This window comes from Homo sapiens, chromosome 16 (genome assembly GCF_000001405.40).
Source record: "Homo sapiens chromosome 16, GRCh38.p14 Primary Assembly".
In the NCBI taxonomy this organism is placed as follows: Eukaryota; Metazoa; Chordata; class Mammalia; order Primates; family Hominidae; genus Homo; species Homo sapiens.
The window spans coordinates 5243975-5265775 of NC_000016.10; the positions used below are offsets into that span (position 1 = coordinate 5243975).

A 21801-nucleotide genomic window follows, 5' to 3' on the forward strand; every position below is an offset into this window, starting at 1 on the left:
CAACCTCCACCTCCTGGGCTCAAGTGATTCTCCTGCCTCAGCCTCCGGAGTAGCTGGGATTACAGGTCCCCACCACCACAGCCGGCTAATTTTTGTATTTTTGGTAGATATGAGGTTTCACCACGTTGGCCAGGCTGGTCTCAAACTCCTGACCTGAGGTGATCTGCCTGCCTCGGCCTCCCAAGGTGCTGAGATCACAGGTGTGAGCCACCATGCTGGGCTGGGCATAGCATTGTAACACAGACAAAGCACAAAATACTTGGGCAATATCTTTACATTTGGCTTGTCTAGACTCCATCCTCCATCCCCTCATGCACTGGTGCGGTGCAGAGCAGAATATCACCCACCTAGACTGCAGAGTGGATTTGGGTGGCATCTTGGCTTTCTGCACAAGACTTGCCTGTTCCCCACCACATCCGCCTGGTTCTCAGGGTCCAGGATTCCAGGAGGCAGGGATGTGGGCAGGCAGGGTAGGTGGCCTACCCAGTTCACTCCCATACTGGGGACTTGCAGAGCCGACTCCCTGAGATAGGGTGTTTGGACCAACCTCTGGGTTTTTGGATTTCCATTTGAGCACAGCTGGACTACAGAGGCTGAAGCTCTCTCTGCTGAGATATAGATATTTCCCTGGCAACAATCTTTGAAGCTGACATGAAGACATGGCAACCCGCTGGAACGCGGTGTGTCTGCTGTGGCGCTCTTGTAATTTGTGAGGCAGGCTCCTGAGGAATGCAGTGCGTAAGTGGGAAATTTTGGGAAGTTCTCGCATCCCCCTTTGGCCGAAAGTGCTGCCTGCGCAGGTTGGTGGACGGTCCTTTGAGAAGGAAGAAGACACGGAGCACATTCCTGTTAGCTATGACAGAGAGGGGCAGGGTACACACTGGACATTTCAAGCCCCTGCAGGGAAGCAAGTCTTACTGTGCTGGGAGTACTTGTGGAGTGGGGGCTGTGTTGCCCTGGGCTTTAATTCTTTCAGGAACATTTAACCGCAGGGCTGGCAGGCTGGATCTTGATATGTGTTTCTCAGTTGGAAAGGCTTTGGACCATAGGGAAATGTCTTCTCAATTCTTTTAATTTCATTAAGGTGGTCATTTTTCTTCTTGTGGCCTCTGGAATGTGACACAGAACTCAAGGTACAGGATGAGTTGGAGGCTGGGACAGGGGTCCCTGCCAGGGATGCAGGCGAGTCACATGATGGTGTTGATGTGTGGAGTCCGGTGCCTGGTTTGGGGAATGTTCATGGGATATGTTCCAAAGGACTTACGGACCTATCAGGTACTGGAGGTGAATGGTCAAGTCTGATCTCAGGGCTGACAGTGTCAGGCAAGGACAGGAAGTTGACTTTGGACTCATTGGCTGAGGTTGCTTGGGACCCAGGGGGCAATGTGTGCCAGGACAGATGGGTCTGGGGCTAGGAAGGCAGGTTTGGGCTGGAGACTCGGGCTTGGGAGGCATCCCAGGTAGCCAGTGGTTGAGGCTGTGGAAATGACTGCGATTGCCTGGGATGAGAGTGGAGACAGACAAGATGGGGGTTTTGCTCTAAGCCTGGGGAACCCACCTCCCAGGTTCAAGGGATTCTCCTGCCTCAGCCTCCCAAGTAGCTGGAAATGCAGATGCGCACCACCATGCCTGACTTTTGTATTTTTAGTAGAGATGAGGTTTGGCCAGGCTAGTCTCAAACTCCTGACCTCAAGTGATCGGCCCACCTTGGCCTCCCAAAGTGCTGGGATTATAGGCATGAGCCACCATGCCTGACCATTTTTAAATATTAATTTTTATGAAATATTTTCAAACACATTTTACTATACATTGGAAAAGTCAATCATGATTTGAAAACTTCATCAAAATCCAATCAAATGTCAATTAACCATTTAATCGTGGATGGGTAAGGAGACTATTTTGACCAAAACATATTAGAGAAATTACCACTTATAGAAATAATCTGTGTTTTAATGTTTTAGTTGAATTAAGCAATCTTTTATATTCTGGCCGGGCCCAGTGGCTCACACCTGTAATACCAGCACTTTGGGAGGCCGAGGCCGTCGGATCACCCAAGGGCAGGAGTTCAAGACCAGCCTGGCCAACATGGCGAAACTGTCTCTACTAAAAATACAAAAATTAGCCAGGTGTGATGGCACACACCTGTAATCCCAGCTACTTGGGAGGCTGAGGCAGGAGAATCATTTGAACCTGGGAGACAGAGGTTGCAGTCAGCCGAGATCGCGCCACTGCACTTCAGCCAGCCTGGGTGACAGAGCGAGACTCTGTTTCAAAATAAGTAAATAAATAAAATTCTGAATTTTATTTTTAATAATTATTTTTGTAAAGAGAGTATCTTGTTTTTTGGAGTTGTTGAATTTATTGAATTGACAAAAAGTATGTACAAGAGGGTATACAACATGATGTGATTGAAGTATGTATACATTACAAAATGGCTAAATCAAGCTAAATAACATATCACCTCCTCGACTTATTTTTTTGTGGTGAGAACACTTAAAAAATCTACTCTCTTAGTGATTTCCAAGTGTATGATATGTTGTTATTAACTGTAGGTACCATGTTGTCCCATGGATCTCTTGAACTTATTCTTCCTCTCTAAAAATGACATTCTGTGTCCTTTGGCATCTGCCCACTTCCCCACCCTGACAACCATCATTCTACTCTGCTTCTATGAATTAAACTTTTTAATTTTCTTTTTCTTTCTTTTTTTTTTTTTGAGACAATCTCATTCTATTGCCCAGGCTGTAGTGCAGGGGTGTGATCTTGGCTGACTGCAGCCTTGGCCTCCCAAGCTCAATCAATCCTTCCACCTCAGCCTCCTGAGTATCTGGGAGTACAGGCATGCACCACCACGCTCCACTAAGTTTTGTATTTTTTGTAGAGATGGGGTCTTGCTATGTTATGCAGGCTGGTCCTGAACTCCTGGGCTCAAGCAATCTGCCGGCCTCAGCCTCCCAAAGTGCTGGGATTACAGACATGAGCCACCATGCCTCGCTGAGTTCAACGTTTTTAGATTCCACATATAAGTGAGATCAGGTGGTATTTGTCGTTCTGTGCCTGGCTTATTTCACTTAACGTAATATCCTCCAGGCTCATCCATGTTGTCTCAAATGGCAGGATTTCCTTCTTTTTGAAGGCTGAATAGTATTCCATTGTGTACATACACCACATTGTTGCTGGAAGTATAATGGAGGCCAGTTGGGGGAGGAGGGGGAAAAGATTCACTCTAAGTCTAGATGCTCTAGCACCCACCCAGGATGTGTGCAAGGAAGTGCAGGATGCTCCTGGTCTTGCAAACTGTGGTTTGTGGGACTCCAAAGCCCCTATCCTTCCACGATGCTTTCTGTCCTGTTATCACATTTCCTTGGAGGAGAATCCAGCCTTGGTGGAGAGCCCTGCCCTGGCTTTGTCCCTCCGCATGAGATGGCAAAGGATGGTGCTGCTGGGAGACCCTCACATCTGTGCACTGGGGGCTGCTTGCCTTCTCCATTCCTCCTTCAAGTATCTGAGCAGCTCCTGTGTGCCAGCTGCTGGTCTACAAGATGGATGGGTCCTTGGAGATCACGCTGTAGCAGAGGAGGCAGGCTACAGCCCACAGGCCAGAGACAGCCCCCTGCCTGTTCATACAAATAAAGTTTTATTGGAACACAGCCACACCTATTTCAGTGCATATTGTCTGTGGCTGCTTTCCTGCTACATTGGAGAGTTGAATAGTTGCGACAGAGACCTATGGCCTGCAATGCTGAACTATTTACCATCTGGCCCTCGAGAGAAACAAAAAAAATGCTGAGCCTTGTACCCCGACAGTCTTAGGTTAAGAGGACTTTGTACCACCCTGACATCCCAGGCGGCCATGAGTCCAGCCACCCTTGAAATGTACACAGGTCTGGGCTAGGGTTGGAGCAGGTGAGTCCCAATTCTGCAGGTCTTTGGTATCAGGGGCACAACCCAGGATTTTGAGTGGGGTTTCCTCACCATGTGGCTGGGCACTGGGCTAGGGTGCTTTTCGATTTTTGTATGGGGAAGAGAAAGGAGGGAGGAAATGGCAACTTGTTGCCCTGTTCTAACATTTTCCTAAGATGGGTCTCCAGGCAAGGGCTTGGGATCTCACCTCGCACAGCTTACAAAACCCAGTGAGGCCGGCTGTCTTGGCGCTGCCACTCTGAGGGATGGAGCCCCCAAATTACTAGGAAGGGAGATAAAAGAATGGTTTCTGCGAGCACAACAACTGGCGTTATGGAAATTAACATTTCCCCCAAGTTTTATAATGTCTAAGCATGCATATTTAAGTGTTTGCCTCAAAAGCTCTTGCTAATAACCAGATGGTGCATTTAATTTCCTTTTTTTGTTCTCTGAGCCACATGCAGCTTCCTGCACAGCCTTCCTTGCAGGCAACTGCACTGAGGTGACAGTCCTCCTGACTGCCAGCCCAGATCCCCAGGGCCTCTGAGAGCCCTGTATTCTGGGGGCAGCCTTTCCCCTTCTATTCGGCCGCAGCTGGAAGGGGGCAGGTCACCCACAGCCTAGCACAGGGTTCCTGCCTTAGCTTCTCTAAGGCTCCCTCTGACCCTCTAGACCTCACCAGCTGAGGATCAGAGCCCCGGGGCAGGAGCCAGGGCCGTGGAGCGCTTGGGGGGTGGTCTGAGAGTGCAGCTCTGAAAGGGGGTGCAGGGTGTGCCCAGGAAAAGCTGTTCGGGGGAGACTGCAAAGAGATGGCAGAGTTAGGACAAGAGGGCCGGGCACGGTGGCTCACACCTGTAATCCCAGCACTTTGGGAGGCCAAGGTGGGGGATCACCTGAGGTCAGGACTTTGAGACCAGCCTGGCCAACATGTTGAAAGCCTGTCTCTAATAAAAATACAATAATTAGCTGGGCGATGTGTGGACACCTATAATCCCAGCTACTCGGGAAGCTGAGCCACGTGAATTGCTTGAACCCGGGAGGTGGAGGTTGCAGTGAGCTGAGATTGTGCCAGTGCACTCCAGCCTGGACAACAGAGCAAGACTCCATCTCAAAAAAAAAAAAAAAAAAAAAAAAAGAGGACAAGAGGAGGAGGGAAGAGAAGGGGGCTGTGGGGCAGCAGCCAGGACCTTAAAGGCACGGAAGAGGAAGCTTGGATTTCCAGTTCCAAAGGACATGAAGACAAAGTCACACACCTTTATTTAACCTGCTCCAGGTGAGGCTGCGCTTTGTGTGTTTTCCTTTTCCTTGTGTTCAGGCTGTTGTAGAAACAGGTACGCAGGGGCTCTGTGTGGCACCCTGTTCTGGGGGCCTTCAGGAAGGATGGGGTGCCCTGGTTTCCTTGGCTTCGTGTCCCCCTTTCCTCCTGCCACCCCTGACTGTGCCCCCCACCTTGTCCCTCAGACCGTCCTCCTGGAGGGGCCTGGCCGGGGCTTGTGTCCTTGCTAGTCTCTGGGGAGGAAGACTCTGTGGCTTGAAAGCCTGTCGGCTTAAGTTGCAAGGTGTAGGTGCCTGGGAGGGGACGTGCACGGCCCTCTTGACTGATCCATTCATGTTTTTCTTTTCTGACTCTGTTCTATGTTGTCCTGATGTGGGGGTAAGCCCCTGCCTTCTGCCTTTCCTGCCTTGGACTCTTGGAATTGGGCCAGCTGAGAGGGTCTATGTGGTCTGAGTATAATTTGTTAGTTTTTGTTCTGCTTATTAAAAATACAAATTATTATTTGTTCATTTGTAAAGAATTCAAGCAATGCAGACCAGGTGTGGTGGCTCACACCTGTATTCCCAGCACTTTTGGAGGTCAAGGTGGGCGGGCCAGGAATTCGAGACCAGCTTGGCCAAAATAGTGAAACCCTGTCTCTACAAAAAATACAAAAGTTAGCTGGGCTTGGTGGTGCCCACCTGTAATCCTAGTTATTTGGGAGGCTGAGGCAAGAGAATCGCTTGAACCCAGAAGCAGCAGGTTGCAGTGAGGAGGAGGTTGCAGTGAGGAGGAGGTTGCAGTGAGGAGGAGGTTACAGTGAGGAGCAGGTTGCAGTGAGGAGCAGATTGCAGTGAGGAGGAGGTTGCAGTGAGGAGGAGGTTGCAGTAAGGAGGAGGTTGCAGTGAGGAGGAGGTTGTAGTGAGGAGGAGGTTGCAGTGAGCCGAGATTGTGTCCCTGGACTCCAGCCTGGGCAATAGAGCGAGACTGTGTCTCAACAAAAAAAAAAAGAAAAAAGAATTTATATAGAAAACAAAAAGCAAAACTTCCTTTTGATTTGCTTTTCTTGATCTTGCTTCTCAGAGGTAACACTGGGGAGGGTTGGGGTATACCTTTCCACATCTTTTTCTTTTCTTTTTATTTTTTAAGTTCTGGGATACATGTGCAGAATGTGCAGGTTTGTTACATAGGTATACATGTGCCATGGTGGTTTACTGCACCTATCAACCCATCATCTAGGTTTTAAGCCCCGCATGCATTAGGTATTTGTCATAACACTCTCCCTCCCCTTGTCCCTCACCCCCGACAGGCCCTGGTGTATGTTGTTCCCCTCTCTGTGTCCATGTGTTCTCATTGTTCAACTCCCACTTATGAGTGAGAACACACAGTGTTTGGTTTTCTGTTCCTGTCCACACCTTTTTCCTCTGTGCACGCAAGCACATGTATTTGCACATAAGTGCTTATTGTAACCTTTTTAAAAAAATAAAAATGGAATAATGCTATATTCATTCTTCGGAAAGCCTGCTTTTCAGGCAGCGTGTCTTTGACATTGTCTCACGTTGGAACCTGGGTATACCACCTTCTTCTCCCAGCAGGTATTCTGACGTGTGGATGCACCACGCTTCGTTTAACCAGCCCTGCACCGATACGTCTGTGGATGGTTTCCGCCTTTTCCCAGTCACAGACGGTGTTCTGATGAATTTCCTCACACACATCACTTGGTGCTCTGTGCCTGCATTTCTGTGAGATGTTCCTGGAGGTGGGCTGTCTGGATCAGAGGGGGATCTGTGCTCAATTTGCATCCTGTGCAAAATTCCATCCAGTCATCCGGCTCCCCCAGGGCTCACATGGTACTGTCCTCTGTAGACATCATCTTCTGCAGATGATGGCACGACCGCCCCTCTTTCTTTTATTCACACTAATCTGCACCTCGGTGTCCTGGGGTGGGGGGGTCCCAGCCCCTACCCACTTGTCCCCGCAGACCCTGCTAACGGTCCCCCCAGCCCCTGCTAACAGGGACTCTGGCTTCCGAGCTCTGGCAGACTGCCTCACTCTGGAGAAGTTTGCTTTCTCAAACATTCCTGGCAATGTTACTGCAGATCTCGAGGCCTGCCTTTGCCTTCTTCAGTTTCCTCAAAAGTAAAATGGGGATAATGTGATACTACTGTCTGCATCCTAGAGCTGCCATGAGGGTTCAGTGAGATCACTGTTGACAGCACGTTCACGGCGCCGGCCTTGTGCGCAGTCAGCACGTGTGGGGCAGGGCTGTTGCTGATACGTGGTTGACTGTCATTGCTAGACTGTGGCTTTACCGGGGGCATTGTCTTAGTGCCGAGCCCAGAGCCACCCCTAGTACCTGCTGTGTTTATAGAGTGATTGAGTGGCAGGGTCAGAGACTGGGGCAATGGCAGCAGAAACAGAGGAAAGAAGTGGGGCTTCTCAGACATAACATACTATCTAATTACTTTTATATTAAAGCCACTTCCAGGCAAAACTAGCATTTGATGATAGATACCAGAACAGTGGCTGCTTGGAGTGAGGGCGGGGAATTCAAATTGAATGGAAAAGGGGCCTGAGGAAATTTTCTGGGGTGATTGAAATGTTTTGTATTTTGATCTGGATGATGGTTGTGTAGCTGCAACATGTGTCAACATTCCTCATGCTGTATGTTTAGATTTGTGATTTTACTATATGTAAATTAATAGCTTAATAAAATACTATTATAAAATAAGCTATAAATTAAATGGAATTAACTTCAAGTTTAAAAAAAAAAAGAAGAAGTGGGGCTCCTAATAGGTCCTGAACCAGTGACCTTTGAGATGAAGTCTTCTTGCCAAGGTCTGGGGCTGTGCTGTGTATTCTAGGCCTGAGACTGGAAGCTAGGCCTGGCTGTAGCCCCCGCTGAGCTGGGGAAGTGCAGGTCAGCATCCTGCTTCATTAGGACACCTCCAAGCCCAGCTTAGACCTGGATGCCAGGTGACCCTCTGTTTACTCTGAGCCCAGACAGAGGACAGGGAAGTGTGGAAGGGTGGGGACCCTCATCACAGCCCTTGACTCTCTAAGGCATATGGGTTTGTGCACATGTGTGAGCACGGCTGTGGTTTCTCTGTGAGTTTCAAGCTCTAGGTTGTATTTATGCAGGGTTAGGCTTTCCAGGAGGTCCAGTTAAACCTGAATTTCTCATTAACCATTTCTTTGGGGGGCAAGTATATCCCATGCAATATTTGGGACCTACTTACCCTAAAAAATGATTTGTTGTTTATCTGCAATTCAAGTTTAACTGGCATCCTGTCTTTTCACTTGCTACGTATGAGAGTTCCGTGTGGGGGTTATCAGTGTGCATTTGTGAGTTCCCATGTGAAGGACTCTCTCCAGGTGTCTGTAGGTGCCAGGATGGAGATGGACAGAGAAGATCCTCTTGGGCTGCTTTAGTGGCACCTAGAGGCTGTGGGGTTGGACACTTCAGCCCCAGGGGCCTGGGCAGCACTGTCCAGCACCTGCCTGCTCCTGTCTTCTTCACGGGGGATGACTTCCCTGCCATCTCTCTCCAAATACGGTGGCAAGAGCTATCCCATCCGCCCCCATCTGGAGCTCGGCTGCCCAGCCAGACAAGATGGCAAACAGTGTGCAGATGGCTGCAAAGCTTTCCCCAGCTCCTTCTGCAAGGGGCCTGCAGATGAAACGGAAGCCCTCATCCCCACCACCTCCCCCTTCCAGAAAACCCAGGCAACAGCCACCTCTGAGTGCTGCTTTAGAAGCTTCTCCCTCCTGGTGATTAAACCACCCCAAACAAATAAAGCACTGCATTTCCACCATAAGCTTGTTCACATGCACGCAGCCAATTGTCTTGGATCCACCGCCGGTGTGCCTGATTCATCAGCGTGAGGGGTTCTCCTCTGAGGTGCTCGCAAAGAGCCGCTTAATTTTCATCTGAAAGACTCTCTGTAGAAACCAGGCTCAGCTTTGGAAGAAAGCCCTTTCTCCCCTTTAGCAAATGCTGTGTCATTCTTTTTTTTTTTCTTTCTTTCTTTTTTGAGACTGAATTTCACTTTTGTTGCCCAGGCTGGAGTGCAATGGTGCAATCTCGGTTCACTGCAGTCTCTGCCTCCCGGGTTCAAGCGATTCTCCTGTCTCAGCCTCCTGAGTAGCCGGGACTAGAGGCACCCACAACCACACCCAGCTAATTTTTTTGTATTTTGAGTAGAGAGGGAGTTTCACCATGTTGGCCAGGCTGGTCTTGAACTCCTGACCTCAGGTGATCCACCCACCTCGGCCTCCCAAAGTGCTGGGATTACAGGCGTGAGCCACCATGCCTGGCTGGAATTCTGTGTCATTCTGGATACTTATCATGACTTCAAGCATCTAGGACTCTGTCCTGGGTATACTGAGCCTGAGGGTGTATATGTGTCCAGCTGGCTTGGAGGTTGTCTACAGGCAGGTTGAACTTGGCCTCTGAGTCCGTGGCAGCCTCACGTGGGAAATACCACCAATGAGCCTCATCCTGTGCTTTTAGGAGATAGTTTCTATTTAGTCATTGCTGAATCTGTTACAGACAGGGTCTCAATTTCTTGCAAGTCCTGTATGAGGTGGGTGCTGTGATTATCCACATGTTCATTTGCTCTCTCTGGCCTCTTTCAGGCTCTTGCACTTCCTTTGCTCTTTTCCTGCCACAGGGCCTTTGCACATCCTGCTCTTGCTGCCTGGAAAGATTTTCCCTCTCCCTGCCTCTTCACCTGGTCATGGTCTCATCTGACAGTGGAGTCACTACATCCTCAGGGAAGCCTGGCCACACTGACTCAGTCACAGCAACCCCCTATTATCTGCTTTCATGACACCAGGTACCTCTCTGTGGTAGACACTAGCTCAGGTACAGCTTCCTACTTCTGTGTGTGTCATCCTTCCCCTTCAAGACTGTGGTCACTGTGAGGGCCAGGTCCATGCCTGTTTCTGATTCTCATTTGTGTCTCTAGTGTTTAGTATATGCTCACCTAGAATTTGATTAATAAAAGATGGCATGCCCATTTTACAGATGAGAAAGTTGAGGCTCAGGAACATTATGTAACTTGCTCAGTATTAGATAGTGATGGTTTGAAGCCACCTGGCTGGTCGCTGGGTGCACACTCTTAACCACTTCACCATGGTTCTTCTCTCACAGTAGTTCTCCAACAGCAGGAGTGAGAGACAACTTTAGGACAGGTGTACCCAGAATCCCAGGGGTTATGCTAGAAGATGGTGTCAGGAACATACTTGTCTGTGGGCCTTCTTACTGTATTCCATAAAATACCAGTTTTTCTGACTCGCCTTTAGTAAAGACCTTAGTTGTCAGTAGGAAAGGGTGGATGTTTACACTTTTTTAAAAAGGAGTCTGTATCATATTTATCTTGTGGTCTGCCATGCCCCCCGATCTTCAGCTTCAGTTATGCAAAATTAACACTTCTCTTGACTGCCTCTCTCTTACCTGTTCAGTTTCTTTTCTCTGTTCGAGATTGCTTAGAAATTTTCCCCATTACTACAGCCTGCTTCCCACCTGCATCCCCCACCCAGCTTGTTCTGGATTTTGTCAACAACAGTTCCAGCGTTTAGTGAGGGCTGGATTGAAGGACAGTGTTGGAAAAGGCTGTGTGATGACAGGTGAAGATACCCAGTGGGCAGGCAGTCATTAGGATTAATTCAAAGGCTGGAAGAAGGGCTGACCTGGAGGCCTGGAAATGTCTTTGAGCTGAAGGTCATGTGTAGGTGGAGCGAAGAGGGTGAGCCTTTTGGGGTGAACTGCAAGTATTTGATAAGATCTCTGTCCCCACTGTTGGGGAAGTCTTGATAAGCATCCTCAATGTGATGGAGGGATTAAGGAACCCCTGGCTCTACCTGCCCAGCATGGCAGTAACGTGACACAGCCAGTTGATTATTGGTTGCCCAGCTGTCATCAGATCAACATCTTCTGTTAGTTATAGCTGTAATTTGCATTAGTTGTCAATGCCAGTTTTGACTTTCCTAGTCAATAAAGTGTTCTGAGGGTGGTGACTAAGGCTGACCATTACCCATAATCATGAGTATTACAGAGGCAAGCCCCCTTGCCCACCCACCTGCAGGTGATGACACACCCTAGGAAAATCACTCAATTCTTTGGAGGACCCCGGATAAATGCTCAAGTCCACCTGCTCATCTGTCCGCCTATCCGTCCACACTTCCTTCCATCCATCCATCCATCCATCCATCCATCCCTCCATCCATCCATCCATCCATCCATCCAGACATGCATACATCCATCCACCCACCTACCCATCTATCCACCCACCCACCCATCTATCCATCCAATCCACTCTCTTGTGCACCCAGCTATCATCCACCTAACCACCTACCAAACCATCTATCCATCTACTTACCCATGCATCTATCCACCCATTCACTCATCTAACCATCTATCCACCCACCCGTCCATCCATTTATCTATCCCTCCACCCATTCACCCACTCATCCATTTCTCCACCCACTCAACCATCCCTTCACCGACTCAACCATCCATTCATTCGTCCACCTGCCCACCCACCCATCTATCCATCCACCCACCTATCTATCCATCCATGTACGTATCCATCCATCTGCTTGTACTTCTGTTCATTTATTCCACAAAGACTCGTTAACCACCTGCTAGATTCTGGGGAGGTATCTGCTCTAGTAATTGAGAACACGGTCTCTGGAATATGATTCCCTGGGCTCAAACTGAGCTGCCTCCTAGCTAGCTGCTTGGGTAAGTTACAGAAACTGTGCTTTGATTTTCTTATCTGAAAATTGGCTATTAATAGCTTCTAGTCTTGCAGATATAGTGAGGATTAAATAAGATGTCACATTAAAAGTGCATCATCGACACTCAATAGAGATTAGGTTTTACTATTCATTATTATTCTTGGCAGATGCTGCAGATAACGTGGAGAACATACGAAAGACACATATTTGAACCAGTAGTGACATACAGGTGCTAAGTTTTGCAGGAGGGGAAGGGCAGAGAGCCATGGAGAGGGCCTGGCCCAATCCTGGAGACTCAGAAAAAAGTTCCCCATTGAATTGCTGTTTTAGCTGAGACTTGTGGGATGGGTAGTAGTTGGAGATCCCAGACAGGATGTGACCGAGTTAGCCAGGGAAAAATTGGGTCCTGGCACCCATGGCAGAGTTGAGTGATCCAGTCCTTCTGTCTCCTCTGGCTGGAAGTCCACCAGATCTGGGAATGTCAAGTTCGGGGAGGGGGCTGACAATGACCATGACCTTCACCTGTCCTCACATGTCCTCTGTGTGTCTGCAAAGCCTCTGCCTCAGTCTCCTCTTCTGGAAAGTGGGATTGGAAACCACATCTGCTTCTCTCCCAGGACTGCTAGGAAGGCAAGATTAGATGGCAGATGAGAGCTCTTTGAAAATGAAAACATTCTGCTATTTGAATGCAAAGTGTTCTTCTTTGCCTGTGATGTTTCCTAATCTGTGAAATCATACTGGACCTCGAAGCTTTCTATTAAAAAAAATAGCTAAGTGGCTGGGCATGGTGGCTCATGCCTGTAATCCTAGCACTTTGAGAGGCTGAGGGGGTTGGATCACTTGAGGCCAGGAGTTCGATACCAGCCTGGCCAATATGCGAAACCCTGCCTCTTCTAAAAGTACAAAAATTAGCCCGGTGTGGTGGCATCTGCCTGTAGTCCCAACTACTCGGGAGGCTGAGGCACAAGAATCATTTGAGCTCAGGAGGCAGAGTTTGCAGTGAGCTGAGATGGCGCCACTGCACTCCAGCCTGAGTGACAGAGTGAGGCTCTGTCTGAAAAAAGAAAAAAAAAAAAGCAAAGTTAACACTTCCTCCATCTCTCTCCTGGGGGAGGCAATTTGTCAAAGATTGTTGTTGGATTTTACACACAGGGAAATCTAAGGAAGGTGTGGAAACCAGACCAGGACTCCAGACTCTGGTCTCCCTGTTTACAGGGTCTTAAATGGGGGAGCCACTTTGGGTTCTTTCCACAAGATTGCTTTGTAAAAAAACCAAGAAACAAACAAACAAACAGAAAACTCAAAAAAAAACAGCCCTGACCTAAATATTCACAAGGGACCTTAGGCAATATCTGCAAACAAACGTGAGTGATGAGTGGAATCTGTCATCTTTACAACTAAGACAGCTCCAGAGTTGAAGCAAGTGGAAATATCTCTAGAGACAGAGATTTGGGCAGGTTTTGCCAGTTACATGCTATGAGAACCTGGGCAGGTTTACCTCTCTGAGCTTCTGTGACCTTGTAAAGTAGGCTGCATTGCTGTAAACGTGCAGGAGGAATCCCAGCATCCTCCTGTGCACAAGGCTGGTTTCTTCCCATCCTTTTCCTTGTTCTGCCTCTCTCCTCCTCTCCAAGAGATGAATACGTTTGGACCCAGTAGGGGCCTGCGTTTGCAAAGGCTCGCAGGTGATTCTCATGCAGCCAGCCTGTCTCTGGCGCTGAGTTCTTGGACACTTCTGGAGGCGCATTTACTAGTGAGGAAGATCACTGTGTGTTAAAGGCATGACTCATCTTCCATTCCTTTCTTCCATGAAGCAAGGCGCATGGGTCGACTGAGCTGGGAGAGTCCCCAGTGTCAGCCTCCCCCACGCTTCCCTCCCTGCCCATTCCTTGTGTGTTGTACTTTGTCTCGACTTCCTCTACTCTGCACCAAGCCGGGAGACGGTCAGATCTCAAAAAAATCATTTTTTTGGGGTGGGGGGGAAATGGGATCAAGAGGGTTTTTGTTTGCTTGTTTCTTTGAGACAGGGTCTAACTCTGTCACCCAGGCTGGAGTGCAGTGGTGTGACCTTGGCTCACTGCAGCCTTGACCTTCTGGGCTCAGGTGATCCTCCCACCTCAGCCTCCTGAGTAGCTGGGACTGCGGGTGCACACCACCTTGCCTGACTAATTTGTCTATTTTTTGTAGAGATGAGGTTTCACCATGTTGCCTAGGCTGGTCTCAAACTCCTGGGCTCAAGCAGTCCTCCATCCACCTCGGCCTCCTAAAGTGCTGGGATTATAGGCATGAGCTGCTGTGCCTGGCCAAGGTTTTTTATTATTATTATTATGAAAAATTTTCAATATACATAAAAGTAGAGCGACTAGTTTAATGAGCTATCATATACCCATCACATAAGTATAAAAACTATTAACGTTTGCAATATTTACTCCATTTGTTTTTCTGAAGTATTTAAAAAATAGTTTACAGTAGTTATGTAATTGCTTCATGATATTCACCCCTATGTAATTTACTTTCCCTCTAAAAACATGAGGGCATTTTTTATATGATCATTGTCATACCTAATCAAATTACCAGTAATTCCTTAATATCCTCTAAGATCGAGTTTACATTCAGATGTCTTGTCCTCAAAATGTAAATTGTGATTATTTTTTTCTTTGAGCAAAGATAATAAGATCTCAAGATTTAATGACAGAGATTCCATATTAGCCCTGATGTCTAAGCTCTGTGGTCCATTGTGGCTTTACTTGAAAGTCTCAGGCTAGGCGTGGTGGCTCACACCTGTAATCCCAGCACTTTGGGAGGCCAAGGTAGGCGGATCACGAGGTCAAGAGTTCAAGACCATCCTGACCAACATGGTGAAACCCTATCTCTATTAAACATACAAAAATTAGCCGGGCATGGTGGCAGGCGCCTATAGTCCCACCTACTCGGGAGGCTGAGGCAGGAGAATCTCTTGAAGCCGGGAGGTGGAAGTTGCAGTGAGCTAAGATTGCACCACTGCACACCAGCCTGGGTGGCAAGAACGAATCTCTGAAAAAAAAAAAAGAAGTCTCTCACTGTGGTCTTATAATAAAAGCACACTCCATTTCCCATCTGGCCCCTGCTCCTTAATGTTAGCCCCCTCCTGTGGGGAGGAGGGGGTGACCTTCAGCGCAGGTTCAAGCATTCCCAGGGCTGGCTCTGATGCTGATAAAGCCCATTGTCATGAATGAATCCTTGCAGGTTATTGTAAGTATTGGAAATAGTGCACATGGAGTGTCCTCATGATGCCTGGGACAGTAATGAATATTTATAGGTTTCTTTTAGTGCCTTTTTTTTTTTAGTGTTTTCCATAGTTCCATGTTTCTACAACCCTTAGGAACATCAGAATTATGTGTGTGTGGGTGCTTATTAAATACACCAATTCCTGGAGCTCACTCCCAGACAGTTTGATGATTAGGGGCTCAGCTAGGACCTATGTTTGCAAAAGCTCCCAGCTGATCTCATGCAGCCAGCCTGGCTCTGGCTCTGGCTCTGGGAGCTGGGTTGGGAACTAGTCTTTGGTGCTATTCTGCTGAAACTTCAAGCTGGGCTCTTTGACTCCATCTTGTATTGTCATCACTTGCATTCAGGTCTGTTCTTCCCCTGGATTGTAAACTCCTTGATGTCTGGGTCATTTCAGCTTGTGAAGTGAGCTTTCAGTGGGTGCTCAGTGGAACAGGTGCTGAATGGAGTGAGGCTCTAGGGAGGCCAGCGTGTGTTGGTAAGTGAGAGACAAAAATCATTTTAAGAAGAATCTTTTTGCCCTTCAGTTGTGTTTGTCATGAGTTAATGTGATTTATTCTAGTGGAAGCCAGTGCAGCTTAAGTGGAGGTCTTGCCCTGAAATGGAGCCGGGTTATGGATCAGCAGAGCTGCCAAAAGCGTTTTGTGGGAAATGTTTCTGTGTCACCCTCAGTTGATTGAACTCAAGTTTTCACTCCTGTTTAACACCACGTGGGGGCCATTCTGACTTCTGCGGAGTGGGTATGATCAGATCTTCTGTAAAAGTGTAAGTGAGGAGGCTGGGCACGGTGGCTCACACCTGTAATCTTAGCACTTGGGAGGCTGAGGTGGTCAGATCACTTGAGGCCGAGAGTTTGAGACCAGCCTGGACGACATGATGAAACCTTGTCTCTACTAAAAATACAAAAATTAGTCAGGCATGATGGTGCATGCCTATAATCCCAGCTACGTGGGAGGCTGAGGCAGGAGAATCGCTTAAGCCTGGGAGGTGGAGGTTTGGTGAGCTGAGATCATACCACTGCACTCCAATGTGGGTGACGATTGTTTAACCACCACCAAAATGGGTTCTGAGTCCAAATATTAATATGAAGGACATTGGTGACATAGTCTCAAAAAAATTAATGAATACAGAAAAGTACAAAAAGAGAGAGAAATCACCCCAAATCTCACGACCCCAAGAAATAAACCTCCTAATATTAAGTGAGCAGCATTCCTTGCTATGCACAAAGATGGCTAGAGACATGAAGAGACACTTCTGATCACACAAAATGAGATTTTAAAAACAAGAAGTAGCAAATTGAATGCTGTGTAAATTTATCAGAAGAAAAAGAAATGGAAGTGAAACTGAAGGAACTGGTCAACTCAGATAAATGTAGTTTTTTCTTAGCAAAAATCAGTTTCTAGAACATCTAAGAAACCAAAGGTGGTGAAAAATATTAAGATGTTTTATATATATGTAGAAGTCTTTACAGTTGACTGACCATCTCATGAAAAATTTGTACAGTCACTGCAAATAAAGTCATTGCAAAATCTTTACTCCTTTTGCTTTTTGACAGCACCGACATTGGCCTTTGCAGTCTCTTGACGTCATTCTGCCCTTGCATTCCTTTTGCTGTTTTCTTGAGGTCATCTTCTTCTCATGCCAGCTGTGTCTTGCAAGTCTACGTTTGAGTTCATTTTTCTTTGCATAATTCAAAGAACCAGATAACATGCCAAAGCCCGTTGTTTAACCACCATCAAAATGGGTTCTGAGTCCAAATATTAATATGAAGATGACACCCATTGTGGTCTTGTACATTTAGTTGCCTTCCCGGGGTGAAGGACATTGGTGACCATTTGTTTCCTCTGGAGCGGTCGATTGGTCATGAACTTCCGGGTCCAGATAGTTACTTTGTCATTCATCATGGTGGCTGATCCTCAGGTAGTTAGGGAGGAAAATAAACAAGAAGTTATATATTTAAAACCACGTTTCAATTTTAGACCTGATTAATTGACTTAATAAAGGGCATTAGCACGTCTACTTCCTACAGTCCCTCCCTTTACCTCTGGAAACTAGTTATTTCTAGGTTGTTTTATGTTGTTAAGGTTGACCACCTTTTCTTTCTGTTCTGCAATCATAGTCCTATTTTTAAATGGATTCACCTCTCATCACTGGCCTTTTGTCATGGTCATTCAATTCACAAGTTGCTTATTTTTTAATTTCTTGGCTGACTAAATTTTATTATGAAGACTGTTTTTTTTAAAGAGCTCAGAAATACTGTATTCTCTAAGTTCTTGAACATGTGATAGTGTCTTTTGCCTATTTTGATTGGGCAGTAATTTAGTTGGCTATAAAATTCTTGGATTATATTCTGTTTTCCTTAGAAATTATAGGCACCCATCCACTGACATTTCACTGTGTGTATGGTTTTTTTTTTTTTTTTTTGAGTTGGAGTCTCTCCCTGTCACCCAGCCTTGAGTGCAGTGGTGTGATCCCAGCTCACTGCAAGCTCCGCCTCCCGGGTTCATGCCATTCTTCTGCCTCAGCCTCCTGAGTAGCTGGGACTACAGGCGCCTGCCACCATGCCTGGCTAATTTTTTTGTATTTTTGGTAGACACGGGGTTTCACCGTGTTAGCCAGGATGGTCTCGATCTCCTGACCTCGTGATCCGCTGGCCTGGGCCTCCCAAAATGCTGGGATTACAGGTGTGAGCCACCGTATAAGCCCAGCCTCATTGTGCTTTGTAGTAACCCCCTTTCCCTGGCCTCTTGCATCTTGTCTTCTTCTCTCCCAGTAGTTTCTTCATGAAGAGGCCATGTGCTATATTCCATGAGATATTTCACACTCAAAGAAGACTTCTTTTATACTCTTTTGATAATTTGTCTGGGAATCACTGTCTTGATTTATAAGGGAGTTTGTAATAAATACAGTAAAAGAAACACACAACGTATTTTGAGATATCAGAGAAGGGAGCAACTAATTCTATTAATATTTGGGGTTAGCAGGGAAGGCTTAGTTAAGAGGTAACATTTGAACTAAGCCTTGAAATAAGGGAAGGATTTGGACATGCAGTAACGGGGAGAGAGTAGAAGCAAGACATGATGGTTAGTGTTATGTATCAATTTGACTGGGTTGTGGGGTGCCCAGATATTTGGCTACACGTTATTCTGGATGTATCTCTGAGGTATTCTGGATGAGGATAACATTTAATTGGTAGACTGAATAAGGCAGATTGTCCTCCCCAATGTGGGTGAGCCTCATCCAATCCACTGAAGACCTGAACAAAACAAAAAGGTAGAGTCACAGAGAATTTGCTCTCTTTACCTGATTATATTTGAGCTGGGACATCAATCTTCTCCTGAGTTTAGATGTGGACTCGAGTTGGAACTATATCATTGGCTGTCCTGGGTCTCCAGCTTGCTGGCTGCAGACTCCAGGACTCCTTAGCCTCCATAACCATGTGAGCCATGCCTTACAACAAATCAATCTGTCTCTCTCTAGGTGTATAGCTCTACCTCTATCTCTCTGCTCTTTCTCTGGAGAACCCAGAGTAATATACAAGGTTATATTAGATAAGAGGATGACCCAAGGAAAAGCATGGAGGCAGAAAAGTGCAAAGAGGGTTTGGGAAGACTGGGGTGCTGATGGGGAGTTTGGATTTCACTGTGTGTAGCATGGAGAATCCTTGAAAATATTCAAGAGGTGAAAATTGTATTTCTGGAAGAACACCAGGAGAATGTGAAAAGAAAAACACTCACTCCATTGTAACTCCACTGAAGGGGGCATCAAAGGGATGCACTGGGGACATGGGTTGGAGGGTAGTTGAGGCCATATCTGGAGGATCTTTACTTCTAGGCTGAGTCTGAAGTTATCTTTCTGGGGAGTGGGAGATCATTACAAATCTTTGGGCTCCACTGAAGAGACGGTTTTGCTAACAATGGCAGGGTGACGGTGGTGGTGGTGGTGGTGGTGGTGGGAAACTTGTAGCATGAATTCTAATTGGGCTTCTGCTATTCTAGCCGAGAAAGGTGGGGAATGGACTTCCAGTAGAATAATACAGATATGGGAATCAACTGCATGGAGGAGGTAGTTATAGGTGATGAGATGACTCAGGGACAAAGTTTGGTAGAAGGAGAAAAGATACTTAACTGGTACAAAAATAATTGCTGTTTTTGCCATTACTTGTAATGGCAAAATCTGCAATTACTTTTGCACCAACCTAATGCGATGCAAACTTCAGAGCTGTCTGCAACAGAGGGATTGATGAAGATCAACAAAGTTTGGGAACACAGGAAAGGAGCTGGGAGGGTAATGACTTGAGGGCATAGCAGGGATAATCAAGGTTTTTCTTGTTAGCATGTGGAGACTTAAGTATGATTATGTGTTAAACGCCTGGCACATACATGGTGCAAAATATGAGTGAAATGAGGAGTGAAGGTGGTGAGTCATGGGAGTTCCAAGGGAATGGGTGATAAAGGCAGGTCTCAAATGAGGTGCAAGTGGAGAAGGTAGTTTGGGAAAGGAGAAGGATGCTTCTCCTTATGAGATGGGAAAGGCAGAGGAAGAGGGTCAAGGTACAGTGATCTAGGGGTGAGATGGAAGTGATTTGGGAGAACTCAACTCTGAGTGGGCTCTGAAACCCCTAGGGATGGGTTTGGGGGTCTTTGAGATACAGAAGAGGTTTAAAGTCAATTGTTACAGCAAATATGGTTTGGAATTTATTTGTGATGGTTAAAAATATTGCTGAAGAGAAGTGAAGTCTACCATAGAGTTGGATGGTGAGATTATTTAGTGGAACTACCATATCCATGTTGTGATTCTTTCCAGTATCATTCAGCAGCCCTTGGGCAGTTGCAAGGCAAGTCATCAATGGGGTATGGAGATTTTCCAGGTGGGTGTGGTTGAAGGCAGGGAAGAACGAGTTTAGGAGCACATTACAAGAAGAAGGTGACTGTAAGATCCAGGCTGAGCAGGAAGGTAAAGCAAGAAGGAAACATGAGGTTGTGAAGAGAAGTTTAGAGGGATGAGGAGGCAGGAGAGGTGAACAGTTGCAGGATGTAGCTAGAGTGGCGATGTTAGGTCTCGGGGCCAGAGAGCTTTACAGTGATGATGAAGATCAAGGGGCATTAGAATCAAGCTATAAAGAGCCACCGTTTGATGTTGGGATGTGAGGATGCTGCAGTTGGATGTCTGTGCATTGATGGTGAGAACGTGGTCACCCTGGCCCTGCTAAGGAGACTGTGCTCTGTTCTTGGGGCCGTTTTCATCACCTGATGAGAGCAGTGGTCCCCAAATGGTGTTCTTTGGACCGTCTGTATAAAATGTTCATGGGTCAAGGATAAAATAGAAAAACAGAGAAAATGTCACAGAAATCTGCCCATTGGTGAAAGACCACCAGCTGTCCTTTTTGGCGGATTGTTCTTTATTGTAAAAGTGTATATATTCTATTGTATTAAAACATTTTTGTATTTGCATTTTTTCTCTTTTATGAAATGCCATGGGGTAGAAATTTGTCATGTATCCAATTCTCCTGTCTTCATGCATTGCCCTGTGATGGGGGAGGGGATGTGGCTAGTACTGGCCAGTAGGCTGGGGGCAGAGGTGCAGTGTGAGACTTCTAGCTAGGAGCTTTTAATTCTTAGTACAGGGCTCTCTAGCATTCTTCTCCCTCTGTTCCCTGCTTGGTGATACTCCAGGTAATGCAACCCCCATTAGCCTTAGTCTTAGGGCAAGTTTGATGGGAAACAGAGCACCCCACACCTCCCTGCAGATGTAGCATAAGTGAGAAAAACAACTTCTAATGTTTGAAGTTACCAAGATTTAGGAGTTGTTATTGCAGCAAAACCTAACCTATTCTGACTGATCATGGTGGAATTTCTCTGTGTGTGTGTGTGTGTGTAAAACTGGTAGTTTAAAAAAGTTCCTTCTTACCAAAAAGAAAAAAAAATAGCAACCTTATGTTGGTTCTCAAATTAAAAAAATATTTTTACTGGTTTATAAAATAGAAAAAATCTGAGAATCTGTAGCTTAGAGAACTACAGTGTGGGATGTCTGTAAAGACCAGGTTATTTTATCAGCTCCTAACACCCCTTTATAGGAGCTTAGCCAAGACTTGGACTATTTCAGTCTTTCCCCTTCCACATTCCATGGACTCTTGAAGAGACATTGATAAAACGGTACAGCCATGAACCACCCTAACTCAATGCTAGTGGTAGAACCACCTTTTACTGCAGAATGAGCTTCTTGCTACAGTGATACTTGAACCCCTTAGATATATTCTGTACCAATTATATTAAAACACGACCAATGCTTTTGCTTTGTTGTCCCCCAAATTAAACACCTTAATCATGAGAACCCAGAGAATTGGATTTAGTGTGACTGATTCCCAACTATCAGTAAGAACATAATTAGATTATATTTTTCTCCAGTTCAAATAAAAGAAAATTGACAATAAAATGCTGATCAATATGTGTAGCTCAGGAGGTAGAGCTTGCTTTGAGATGCAGAAGTGTTTGTTTTTTTTAGATCTATATTCTTGAGTAAAGCAAAAATCCATCTCTCTTTCCTAGAGGGGAAGACTTTCAGAGCTGGGCTTGGCAACAGCCTGACTATCAGAGGCTGAATTAAACAAATAGGTACCTCTCTGGAGTGAA

General features: G+C 46.4%; 1 protein-coding gene and 1 pseudogene across 4 annotated transcripts in view, besides 4 other annotated features; one reads left to right on the forward strand and one right to left on the reverse strand.

Annotated features, from left to right (window-relative positions):
* RBFOX1 (RNA binding fox-1 homolog 1) overlaps positions 1-21801 on the forward strand; it is a 2473620-nt gene that overhangs the window by 4254 nt on the left and 2447565 nt on the right. The gene's annotated exons all lie outside the window — the stretch shown is intronic.
* Positions 4943-5776: an enhancer, noted in NCBI's record as "H3K27ac-H3K4me1 hESC enhancer chr16:5298918-5299751 (GRCh37/hg19 assembly coordinates)". NCBI's record gives its function as "activates a minimal SCP1, AML or CMV promoter by ChIP-STARR-seq in naive H9 embryonic stem cells {active_cell/tissue: H9 hESC(naive)}" and the evidence as "EXISTENCE:reporter gene assay evidence [ECO:0000049][PMID:30033119]".
* Positions 6865-7533: an enhancer, noted in NCBI's record as "H3K4me1 hESC enhancer chr16:5300840-5301508 (GRCh37/hg19 assembly coordinates)". NCBI's record gives its function as "activates a minimal SCP1, AML or CMV promoter by ChIP-STARR-seq in naive H9 embryonic stem cells {active_cell/tissue: H9 hESC(naive)}" and the evidence as "EXISTENCE:reporter gene assay evidence [ECO:0000049][PMID:30033119]".
* Positions 8201-8868: an enhancer, noted in NCBI's record as "NANOG-H3K27ac-H3K4me1 hESC enhancer chr16:5302176-5302843 (GRCh37/hg19 assembly coordinates)". NCBI's record gives its function as "activates a minimal SCP1, AML or CMV promoter by ChIP-STARR-seq in naive H9 embryonic stem cells {active_cell/tissue: H9 hESC(naive)}" and the evidence as "EXISTENCE:reporter gene assay evidence [ECO:0000049][PMID:30033119]".
* Positions 8869-9535: an enhancer, noted in NCBI's record as "NANOG-H3K27ac-H3K4me1 hESC enhancer chr16:5302844-5303510 (GRCh37/hg19 assembly coordinates)". NCBI's record gives its function as "activates a minimal SCP1, AML or CMV promoter by ChIP-STARR-seq in naive H9 embryonic stem cells {active_cell/tissue: H9 hESC(naive)}" and the evidence as "EXISTENCE:reporter gene assay evidence [ECO:0000049][PMID:30033119]".
* LOC124903639 (40S ribosomal protein S24-like) lies at positions 16702-17070 on the reverse strand (annotated as a pseudogene).